The 12,253-nt window shown below is 46.0% G+C and overlaps 1 protein-coding gene across 11 annotated transcripts in view, besides 3 other annotated features; it reads right to left on the reverse strand.

The window, feature by feature from the left end:
• GLIS1 (GLIS family zinc finger 1) overlaps positions 1 to 12,253 on the reverse strand; it is a 232,926-nt gene that overhangs the window by 205,664 nt on the left and 15,009 nt on the right. The gene's annotated exons all lie outside the window — the stretch shown is intronic.
• Positions 3,678 to 4,177: an enhancer, noted in NCBI's record as "H3K4me1 hESC enhancer chr1:54181253-54181752 (GRCh37/hg19 assembly coordinates)". NCBI's record gives its function as "activates a minimal SCP1, AML or CMV promoter by ChIP-STARR-seq in naive H9 embryonic stem cells {active_cell/tissue: H9 hESC(naive)}" and the evidence as "EXISTENCE:reporter gene assay evidence [ECO:0000049][PMID:30033119]".
• Positions 3,678 to 4,181: a biological region, named in NCBI's record as "H3K4me1 hESC enhancer GRCh37_chr1:54181253-54181752".
• Positions 4,012 to 4,181: an enhancer, noted in NCBI's record as "experimental_8368 CRE fragment used in MPRA reporter constructs". NCBI's record gives its function as "activates a minimal promoter by MPRAs in K562 erythroleukemia cells, with activity observed for both the introgressed and non-introgressed 1:54181672 variant alleles {active_cell/tissue: K562}" and the evidence as "EXISTENCE:reporter gene assay evidence [ECO:0000049][PMID:34662402]".

The raw sequence follows: 12,253 nt of genomic DNA on the forward strand, positions 1-12,253 counted from the left end.
GGCAGGGCCTGATGATCCCTACAGGCCTTCGCTAGCATGGGAGCCTGCGGGTCTGTGAGTCTGAGTTCTGAGAAGGAGCAGGCAATGCCCCAGCTCTGTTCTCATCCTTAGGGAGTCATTCAAGGCCCAGCACAATTTAAGTCCAATCTTCTTTTCTGGCCCATTCTGGCCACTTTCAGCCACTGTTTGATTTGAGTCCAGTTTTCATTCTGGCCCATCTCTGCTCTGGCAACACCAAATTCCTCCCCACTACCCAACATACCAGCTCTTTCCCTTCTACCAGGCCTTTGCACAGACAGTCTTTGCCTAAAGCAGTGCTTCTCAGGCTTCGACATGCACAGGAATCACCCAGAGACCCTGTGAAAATCAGATTCTGATGCAGCAGGTCTGCACTGAGGCTGAGATTCTGCATTTCTAAGAAGCTCCCAGGCCATGCCAATGCTGCTGGTCCAGAAACCACACACTAAATAGCAAGGGCCCAGAATGCCTTCCTCCCTGCTCACCATCTAGCAAAGGGCTTCCTCATCATTCAAAGCCTGGCTCCAGCAACCTGCTGCCAAGAAGCCTGAATCTGCAGGTGATTCATAAAGGCCCTGCAGGTCTCCTGTGTGTACAACTGGTAATACCTGTGCAGCTCTGGTCACAACAAACAGGCTCCAAGTCCATATCCTTATCAGGAGCCCTTTGAAGGCCGGGCCCAGCACAGGACTCGACACAGAGGAGAGGTCAGCAAGCATCCCCTAACTGAATAAGGTCACAGGCAGTGGGGTGGGTCTGAGAACCACTCCATAAGGCTGGCAGAAGTGGCTTGCAGAGCCTGCCCTCCTCCCGAGTGCCCCAGGACCTGACCATGTGAGGCTTTGTCTGGTCCTACCCAGGCTCTGATTTCTAGGCAGTTCAGGTGCAGGGAAGAGCCATCATCGGCGGTGGGCTACAACACGGACTCTCCTTTAACACAACGGCAAACACGGCACTGCCAGAAATAGCAGGTAAAAGGAGCCCAAATGTGAATACGGACCCAGGAAGGCAGAAACCAAGAGGAAGAAAAAACACAGGTAAAAAGTGAGGCAGAGAGAAACCAAGGTAAGATGCAGAGGGAAAAAAGAGAAAGTCAGAAATAGAGACAGTATCAAGAGAAATACCAAAAAGGAAGGAACAGAGACGTTGTAGAAAGAAGAGGTGACAAAGTATAAACGGAGACAGAGACATGCCACGACTTCAAGACCAGCCTAGGCAACATGGTGAGACCTCATCTCTTCAAGACCAGCCTGGGCAACATGGTGAGACCTCATCTCTTCAAGACCAGCCTGGGCAACATGGTGAGACCTCATCTCTTCAAGACCAGCCTGGGCAACATGGTGAGACCTCATCTCTTCAAGAGCAGCCTGGGCAACATGGTGAGACCTCATCTCTTCAAGACCAGCCTGGGCAACATGGTGAGACCTCATCTCTTCAAGACCAGCCTGGGCAACATGGTGAGACCTCATCTCTTCAAGACCAGCCTGGGCAACATGGTGAGACCTCATCTCTTCAAGACCAGCCTGGGCAACATGGTGAGACCCCATCTTTTCAAGACCACCCTGGGCAAAACGGTGAGCCCCTGTCTCTTCAAGACCAGCCTGGGCAACACAGTAAGACCTCGTCTCTTCAAGACCAGCCTGGGCAACACGGTGAGACCCCATCTCTGCCAAAAATTTTTTAAAAAAATAACTAGCTGGACTTACTGGCGCACACCTATACTCCCAGCTACTCAGGAGGCTGAGGTGGAAGGATCGCTTGAGCCCAGGAAGTTGAGGCTGCAGTGAGCTGTGATTACACCACTGCAACTCCAGCCTGGGTGATAGAGCAAGACCCTACCTCAAAACAAGAGAGAGACAGAGGCACACCAGAGAGCAAGAGAGAAGTAAAGGAAAGAGATAAAGGACAAAAGACCTTTTAAAACAGGGTGGAGATAGCTCCTAAGATGGCAGCTAACTCTCCCTGAAAGCCATTAGCTAATCCAGAGGGTATAGACAGACTGCCACAGAAGGACACCCTGGCCCCCTGAGGGCCTCACCTGTGCCCCAGCTTTAGGGTGTGTGGCTGGACAGGGCAATTTCTAACACCTTTTTCCCCATTTCCCTCCACTTTCTCCAACCTCCCCCTTCTCCTCAAAATTACTAAGTGAAGAAAGATAAGAAAGAAACCGGAAACAGCAATGGGGTTTTGTTGTTAGAAATACAAACAAGGTCCAAAGTTAGCAGGAGATGGGGATGAGCCTAAGAAATCAGAGGAACCACAAGCTCCAAGAATCGCCAACAAGTCATTCATCTTCTGAGTCTCAGCTCCTTCAGCTGCAAAATTACCAGAAGCCTCACAAGAGTGTTGAAAAGATTAAATGAGCTACATAAACATGAGAACAGCACCTGATTATAGCAGAGGGGTGCTCCATAAATGGTCACTACATTTCAACTGCAGAATGGGTTATGTAAATACCCTTTTATTGGAGTTTTGTATTAAAAAATAAAAGTACTTTTTTACCCAGTATCTCACCTGAGCCTCACCAGGAGCAGGGACATGGATTATCAACCCCATTTCACAGAAGAGAAAACAGAGATCTTACAAAAATAGCCCGCCTGGTCCTCAAGACAGTGTGAAAATTCCAGTCCACGATGGTCTGAAAGATGGTCCCCATCTTTTCCACTGTACCAGCTGCGGGCAGCATCAAAACTGGGGCTCACATGAGATTAACAAGAAATGCATTTTTTCCTACAAATAGTGGCCAAGCCTCTTTAGAGGCTGTGCCAGGCCCTGTACTGAGATGAGATGAATTAAGTGTGGCCCTGCTCCCTGGGGAGATGGACACCCAGTGTGACCATCACTGAGATGGACAGGCGCAGCAAAGGATGTGCCACCCACTTGGAGTCAGGGCCCACTGTGCAGCAAGCACTGCTTTAGGCCCTGGCAAGGTCCTGCTTCCCATGGAGTTTTCCTTCTTAAACACAAGTTTTCACTCTTTTCTTAAATTTATTTTTATTTTTATTTATTTATGTATTTATTTACTTGAGACAGAGTCTCACTCTGAAGTGCAATGGCACAATCATGCCTCACTGCAGCCTTGCCCTCCCAGGCTCAAGCAATCCTCCTGCCTCAGCCTCCCAAGTATTAGGGACTACAGGTGCATGCCACCAGGTTCACTTAGTTTTTTTATTTTTTGTAGCAACAGGTCTCACTATGTTACCTGGGCTGGTCTCGAACTCCTGGGCTCAAGCCATCTGTCTACCTCAGCCCCCCACAGTGCTGGGATTACAGGTGTGAGCCCCGTGCCTGGCCAAGTCTTCATTCTTGAGTAAAATAACACAAAGAAACTGGGTGATCAGAGAAGACCCTTCTGGGAGGTGATATGTAAGCAGAAAAGTCCAGAGTCCACCATGGGCAGGTGAGCTGGAAAAGCACACCAGGCGGAGGGAGTGGGCCATGCAAAGGCCCTAGCGCAAGGTCAGCATGGTCCAAGTGTGGCAAGAGAGGCAGAGTCATGTGGAGGACAAGCAGGGACACTGCATCTGCCTTGGAGGCCAGGGCAGAAGAACAGAGGGCGGACAGAGGGCTTTCAAAGTGACGCTGTCGAATGACTGACATCTTAAATTGCATTTACACCGGCTGCTGGGTACAGAACACAGAGAGGCAAGGGTGGCGGCTGGGAGACCAATGAGGAGACTCCTGCAACCACTCAGACCAGGCAGTGTGCACAGGTTCAGGACTGAGGCAGGGACGCCAGCAGGGGGCGGCAAGAAGGAGCTGCCGGTGCAGGGAGACAGCTAGGGCCCACCAGGAATGGTCACTGTGCCTAATGTTACTGAGAGGACGAGTGAGATGGAGGCAGACAGGGTGACCAAATCTGGCCCCATGGAGGCCGTGGAGGACCTGGCAAGAGCAGTCGGTGGACTGAGGAGGACAGAGAATGGGAAGTGAGGGAAGAAAGGCTGCAAACAGAAGTGGAGAATGGGGCGGTGGCAGGAGGGGGATTAGACGCAGGAAGGCATGGTGGCTTTGCTTTTTGAGCTGGCAGGTCCTGAAGCACAGTTATATGCCAATAGGAGTGACCCCTGGAGAGGGCGAGAGTCGCACTGCAGGGGAGGTCACTGCTGAAGCACAGTCTTCGAGGAAGAGGGAGGGTGGATGCAAAGCCCTGGGATGGTTTGGCTGTTGATAGAGGAGAGGCATTGCCAGCTCCCACAGAGGAGGGGAGGCAAGGCTTGGAGAGTACTCGCCAGAGCTCTCAACTCCCAGATACAGACTGGGCTCTTTCAGGGTTCCGTGTGTCTCCTCTAGCACCATTTGACAGACAGCTACAGGTGGTTCGATCTTAACTAGGGTAGGGGCCCAACAGTGAGAACAACAGGGGGAGAGGGAGGCAGAGGGTTGAAGGTGCTTGGGGAGGTGTAATTATAATGAACACTAAGCTAGGCAAGGAAGGAAGTGAGGACAAGTGGGTGACCAGTTGGGGAAAGGGGAGGGTCAGTAGATCTGACATCCTCGTATGGCCAGAGAGTCATCATCGGCATGTCAGGAAAACCCTCAACCTGAAAGGAGTAACAACAATCAACAAGTGGAACTCAGATGAAATGAATGGAAAACAGGAACACAGGGAATAAGGAAAAAGATGGTTTAAAATCCTAAAAATCTCCTCAGAGAGGTATGATAAGATATTGCATCCATAAATGGAGGCACAATGCCTGAAAGTGCTTTTGCAACCTAAAAATAACTAAAATAAAAAAGAAGATGGGAAAAAGAGTCAAAGAAACCCTCCAAAAACAGATCAAAAAGACAAAGAGCTAGGTATTATAAAAACATAAGAAATGTAGAGGATCAATACAGAAAGCCAAACAGGCAACTAGGGGGATTTCTAGAAACCGGCAGTAGAGAAATTATATTTAAAAAAAAGTCAAAGAACTAATACTCTGTCTAGAACTGAAGGTCATGAGTCTCCAGAAACAGTGGGCCTGCCAAGTATCTAGCCCAACGAATGGGAAAAACCCCACATCAACAGAAAATTTCAGAACACGAGAGAGAGACAGAAAATTCATAAACTATCTAGAAAAATTGATGGGGTAGAGTGGGGGAAATGCAGAGTCTAGACCAAGTATCAGAAATCATCATGGCATTGGACTTTCAGCAGCAATGTGGGAAGCTGGAAGACAATTGAATTCTCTCTTCAAAATTCTTAACAGGATCCGTCCTGATGCCAGATGGCCCAACTTCAAATCCTAGACCTGCCACTTAACAGCTGTGATCACGGCCAAGGTACTTACCTCACTGGGTCTCAGTTTCATCATCAATAAAATGGGCATAATAATAATCTCTATCACCTCTTTGATGTGAGGATGAATTAATCCACGTAAAGCAGTGAGGACAGTGCCTGGCACATGGTAAACATTTAAAGGTTCGCTCTTATTAAAATTACCCAGTCACACTATCCATCAGCAATGAAACACCTTCAGACATACATACCTACTCACCTTTCTCACCAAGCCATTGCAGGATACACTCCAGAAAATTATGGGGCTAAACCAAGAAAAAGGAAAATACAATGCAAAGGACATTTGCCTTTTTGGGGGGTGCCCAGCATCTGAACACACTTCTTCTACGGGGAAAATTACTCACCTTATAAGGCAAAACCCCCACTTCACCCAATACACACACACTCACTGAAAATGTCAGATCCTGCAGATCCTCTGTCTCTGCTTAAATGTCACCCTATCCTGACTGCACTGTAACCCAGCAGGCCTCCATCTCCCTTCACTGCTTTCTCTCTATAGTCTGCATAGCCTGTGCCATCATTTGGTAAACTTTATATTTAACTTGTTTACTTGATTACTGTGTTTTCCCCCATCTCGAATGTAAGCTTTGTGAGTACAGACATTTTTTGCCTATTTGCTTATCTTCCCAGCATCTAGAAGAGTGCCTAACTCACAGCAGGTGCTCAACAAAAATGTAAGTTAAAAAAAAAACTTGCTTTCCAAGCCTCCCATGCAGGCACATGACCTAGGCTCTGCCCATGCGAAGCATCCACCCCAGACCGTGATTCCAGAGAGATGGCTCAGGTCCACTCTGGAACAGGTGACAACAGAGAAGTCAGCTACAGCCCCCACTATAGCAGCAATGCAAGCTGTGCACCGGGGCCCAGCGGCATTTTCACTGGACAGCCCTGTGGTGGGATTTGGGATAAGGTTCTTGGCTATGCAGTTTTCCAAGCCTGGTTCTCTAGTCTTATAGAAAATTCTGAGAGCCACTCAGCATCGTTTTAATAAAATCTCTTCTCTGCCTAAATCAGTCAGTTTGTGATATATAGTAAACCAGAATCCAGGGGGCACAGGAGAGTTTTGAAGAGACGCCTCGGGAGGTCAGCAGGGTGTGAATGCACCCCTCTAAACCAGTCTGCAGTGCTGGAGAGACGGAACTGAGGGAACCTGATGCATTTGGACATTCAGGAAAGTATGATTCACAGGAATTTGACAGACTGATGGAGTATGGCGGCAAGCGGGGGAATGGTAACAGCCCCATATAAAATATAAAATATAAAACTAAGCAAATGAAAAAAGAGGTCATATGTAACCTCAGGAAAACAAAAAATTGTACTAGAAAGGAAAAGTTCTGATGGTGCATGACTTGATTTGACATCCTGTTCCAAACATAACCACCATGCTGAAAAAGTAGACTCCAGAGGGTGCTACAGAAACAGCTTTACCATCTCCAGCCCACACCACTGCCACTGTCCTTTCTAAGACTCCATCTGCAGACTTGTTCCCCATCCCCACCCCCTACTCCTAGAAAGTCTGTGGAAGTCTGGAAGTTCCCTTAACTCTGCGGATCATTCCTAGATCATAAACAATCCCCGAGACACTTTTTAGTCCCAAGAACAGTCTCATCTTAGTAATTAAAATGTCCTGTCCAGATTAACAATCTCAAGTCTGACTTTTCTGTATAATCAAACTTCTCCCCTCCCCTCAGGCCTGCCAGGTTCAGTGTCTCAGACCCCTGACTCTGTCCACTGGAGCTCTTTGGACTTGGATGCTTAGTGCCCACTGTGTTACCCTGGGCCACTTCTGTGGGGTCCTAGGGAGCTCCTCCGGTTGGCAGGCACCCGCATGCATCCCGTGGGACACTTCCAGCCTCTCTCCTCTACCTGGCAAGAAGCTCTCTTGGGCAGGATCAGTTTGAAAACGACCACTGCCCAGGTCCTTGAACACTGCCTCTGCCCCATCGTTGGCAGAAACAATGCAGCCACCTCTCCTCATTCTGCCACGAAGCAGGGGCTCCAACCACAGTCTTTCGTGTTCCGTATTTCCAGGCATGGATCAAATGCACTCACTGCTCGGCGTCCAGGGCTGTGCCCAGTTCTCTGAGTGATCCTCTTAGAGCCCTTCTCTCTTGAGTTGAGGTAAGGAAAAAGCGTTCCCTCCCTGCCCACCTGGCATGGGGGGCAGAAAACGTCAGCTTCTCAACAATTCTCTCTGAAGAAATCCTCTCTGTGGGCTCTTCCACCTCAACCCTTTCATATCCTCAAAGCGTATGCCAGTAAGGATCTCAAAATCAGAGTTTACACACCTGAAGTCCTGCTTAGGAATGTAGTGGCCAATGCCTACTGTTAAGATCCACTGTCTTAGGACTCAGCCAGACCCACAATGCCTACACTAATACCCCGTTACACGTAGTCCTAGTGGTGCACCACTTTACCCAAAGAATTGTGATGCAACTGGGGCAGGAGGAAGGAGGGAGGGGTAGTGCAAGTGAGTAAGATGGGGGTGGAGTGGGAGTTGAAAAAAACCAAATCCTCTGTGGAGAAAGGGGGATACTCAGACACTGTTGGTGGGAATGTAGGACAGACATTATGGAAAACAGTATAAAGGTTCCTCAAAAAATTAAAATTAGAGCTACCCTATGATCCAGCAATCCCACTGCTGTGCATACATCTAAAAGAAAGGAAATCAGTATATCAAAGGGGTATCTGAGACCTGGCACATTGGCTCATGCCTGTAATCCCAGCACTTTGGGAGGCTGGGGCAGGTGGATCACCTGAGGTCAGGAGTTCGAGACTAGCCTGGACAACATGGTGAAACCCCGTCTCTACTAAAAATACAAAAATTAGCTGGGCATGGTGGCATGCGCCTGTAATCCCAGCTACTCAGGAGTCTGAGGCAGGAGAATTGCTTGAATCCAGGAACCAGAGGTTGCAATGAGCCAAGATCGTGCCACTGCACTCCAGCCTGGGCAACAGAGCAAGACTCTGTATCAAAAACAATAATAATAATAGTAAAAGGATACCATCACCATTACAGCACTATTCCCAATAGCCAAGAAGGAATCAACCTAAGTGTCCATCAATAGACAAATGGATAGAGAAAATGCGGTATAAATACACTATAGAATATTATTCAGCCCTTAAGAAGAATGAAATCCTGTCATCTGCATCAACATGGATGGAACTGTGTTAAATGAAACAAGCCAGACACAGAAAGAAAAATACCGTAACTTCCTTATACTCATATGTGAGAGCTAAAAACATTGTTCTCATGGAGGTAGAGGGTAGAATGGCAGTTACTAGAGGCTAGAAAGGGTGAGGGAAGGAAAAAAAGAAGAGAAGTTGGTTAATGGGTACAAAAAGAGGCAGAAGAATAAGATCTAGCATTTGGTAGTACAGTAAAGTGACTATAGTTAACAGTAATAGTACAAAATAGCTGGAGGAGAGGAACTGGAATGTTTCCAACATAAAAGGGGGTGAATGTTTGGGGTGATAGATGTCCCAATTGCCCCAATTCAATCATTACACGTTGTATGCATGTGTCAAAATACCACGTGTGCTCCAAAAATATGTACAACTATTATGTATCAATTTTAAAAAAGAAATAAACTAGTTTCTGAGCCTGGGCAACACAGTGAAACTCCACTACTACAAAACATACAACATTATCTGGGCATGGTAGCCGGAGTCTGTAGTCCCAGCTACCTTAGAGGCTGAGGTGGGAGGATTACTTGAGCCCGGAAGGTCCAGGCTGCAGTGGGCCGAGATCACGCCACTGCACTCTAGCCTGGGTGACAGAACAAGACCCCATCTCAAAAAAAAAAAGTTTCTGGCACACAGTAGGTACTCAGTAAAAATATATTAAATGACTAAAAGGAAAACACAAAAATCACTTTTTTATAAAATACATTTTTATTTATAAATTTTTTATAAAATAAATAAAAATCATGTATTGAATGACTGAAAGGAAAAAAAAAGAGAACTAAATCTTCATCTATCATAATAGGAAGCCAGTAGACAGTAAGTATACTTGATCCAGGAACAGGAGCAGAAATCTTATTTAGGGTGGCCTAATCCCAGCTCCACCACTCACCAGCTGCGTAACCCTGGACTAGTTCCTTCCCTCCTCCACATTTATTTCTTCATCTGCAAATCGGGGAGAGTAACAGTAACTCCTTCCTAGGGCTGCTGGGAGAATGAAAGGAATTATATTTGTAAGGCACCTGAAGCAAGCCTGGACCGTAAACACCACGTAAAGTTTAGCTTCCACTGTTTTTATTTTTGTAACTGAGGTGTACAGAAGAAAATGCCAAAAAAAAAAATGACTGAGTTGAAGGCAGGGCTGTTGTGCTACCCAGGTCCACACACCTGGTGCCCCCTGAAGGTGGGCACCACAGCAGCCCTGGCCGAAGGCAGCTGCCTCTCTGGAGTGCGACAGAGGAGGAGGGGTTCTGTCTAAAGCCTTATTTTATTAGGTGATTTTAAAAACTATGTTTGGCATTATTTTGCTAAAAATAAAAGTTTATTTTTAGAATGTTAATAAAACAAGCTCCCACAAATAGTAATAATAACAAACGATGGGACGTGGTGAACGACAAAAAGAAAGCAATGAAAGAAAAGACAAAAGAAAATCTTGGAAATATGACATAAAATTCAATTTTTTATTTCAAAATCATAAAAAACTTATTAAGACAGCAGACTCATAAAAATATTAGTAACAAATATGATGAACAAAGGCATTAACATCCCTAATGACAGCACTTTAAAAATGCCAATTCTTAAATTTTATAAGTAAAATATTCAGATGCCCAACATAAACACCAATTTGCAAAAGAGGAGATAAGAACTCTGAAGCAACACACAATACCTGTTTGACTATACTAATAATCAAACAAACATATAATGAAACCAGATGTCAATTCCATCTTCAAATTAGGAAAATGTTGAAACACTGGTAAAGATACAGTTCCATGAGACAGCAATGCCTGCAGTTGTGAAAATCAGTGTACCCTTCCCAAAGAGCTATGTGGTAATATGTGTTAAATGTTACTACCCTGTAGCCTAGTAATTTCCACTTCTGGGAATCTATCCTACAAAAATAATCAGAAACGCAAATGAAGATTACTACATAAAGATATTCACTGCAGCATTAGCTTTACTGGGGGAAAGCTGAAAATTCTGAACTATTATGCACATGCAAGTAATATATATACATATTTGTTTGTATTCACATAAACTATCTCTGAGAGGCCAGACAAAAGAGAGAAGAGGAAGGCGCTCTCTAAGGACCCTTTTTGGGCCTTCCAAATTTTGGACCATTTTAATGTATCACCTATTCAAAATACTTCAACAAATTTAATAAAACGTAATATGCAGGCCAGGTGTGGTGACTCACTCCTATAATCCCAACACTTTGGGAAGCCGAGGTGGGAGTATTGCTTGAACCCAGGAATTCAAGACCAGCCTGGCCAACATGGTAAAACCCTGTCTCTACAAAAAAATTAGCCAGGCGTGGTGGCGTGTGCCTGCAGTCCCAGCTACTGGAAGGCTGAGGCGGGAAATCACCTGAGCCCGGGGAGGTGGAGGCTACAGTGAGCTGTGATTGGGCCACTGCACTCCACCCTGGGCGACAGTGAGACCCCGTCTCAAAAAAAAAAAAAAAGAGTAGGCCAGGTGCAGTGGTTCACACCTGTAATCCCAGCACTTTGGGAGGCCGAGGCGGGTGGATCACCTGAGGTCAGGAGGTCAAGACCAGCCTGGCCAACATGGTGAAACCCCATCTCTACTCAGAATACAAAAATTAGCTGGGCATGGTGGTGCATGCCTGTAATCCCAGCTACTCAGGAGGCTGAGGCGGGAGAATAACTTGAACCTGGGAGGCAGAGGCTACAGTGAGCCAAGATCGTGACACTGCACTCCAGCCTGGGTGACAGAGTGAGACTCTGTCTCAAAAAAAATAAAAATAAAAAATATGCTTCTGAATCTTTACAAAGAATGTTAATAACATAAAAAAGGTTTATTATGTTCAATGTTAAGCTTATTATTTATTTATTTACTTTTTTTTTTTTTTGAGCTGGAGTCTCACTCTGTCACCCAGGCTGGAGTGCAGCAGCTTGATCTCAGCTCACTGCAACCTCTACCTCCCATGTTCTTCAAGCAATTCTCCTGCCTCAGCCTCCCGAGTAGCTGGGATCACAGGTGCGTGCCACTATGCTCATCTAATTTTTGTATGGTAGTGACAGTGTTCGCCATGTTGACTAGGCTGGTCTTGAACTCCTGACCTCAGGTGATCCGCCTGCCTTGGCCTCCCAAAGTGCTGGGATTACAGGGGTGAGCCACCGCGCCTGGCCTTAAATTTAAATGTAAGTAATAAGACTATATTCAGAATGATCTCAATGATATAAAACTATATTAATAGACAAGCATAGAAAGAAGACTGAAAAGAAATCTACCAAAATGTAAATAGTAGTCATTACTGGGGGGTGAGATTCTGGGCAAGTATTATTTCCATCTTTCCATGTTTCTATAGTTTCCAAAGCTTCTACAGTAAGTATATAGTACTCACGTGAGTGGGAAAAAATAAAGAGTATTAAATTAAATTACCTTTAAAGGGTCAGCCACTTCCCAAAGAAGGACTAGGAGTAAAAACTCAGTAATTTGTTAAAATCCAGGAACCTACAAGAATAAATCAATATTCTGCCATTCCCGTTTAAGCTGCTGCTCAGGGCACTGTCAGCATGTTTCCATTTCCAGGGGTGAGCTGGCTCTGGGTTACCCGCTAAGGAACCAGCAGAAGCCACCCACCAGGTCTGGCCACTCAAATGCTACCTCTCATGGAAGACTGCCCTGATCTCTTTTATCAGTGCTGCCTTAAGAACACTCTGAGAATAGGACAGATCCTAGGACTCACATGTGTATCTCCAACAGGAGGCAGGACTGGTAGCCAGCATGACAGCCCCATCTCAACACTTC

Source organism: Homo sapiens, chromosome 1 (genome assembly GCF_000001405.40).
Source record: "Homo sapiens chromosome 1, GRCh38.p14 Primary Assembly".
Taxonomy (NCBI): domain Eukaryota; kingdom Metazoa; phylum Chordata; class Mammalia; order Primates; family Hominidae; genus Homo; species Homo sapiens.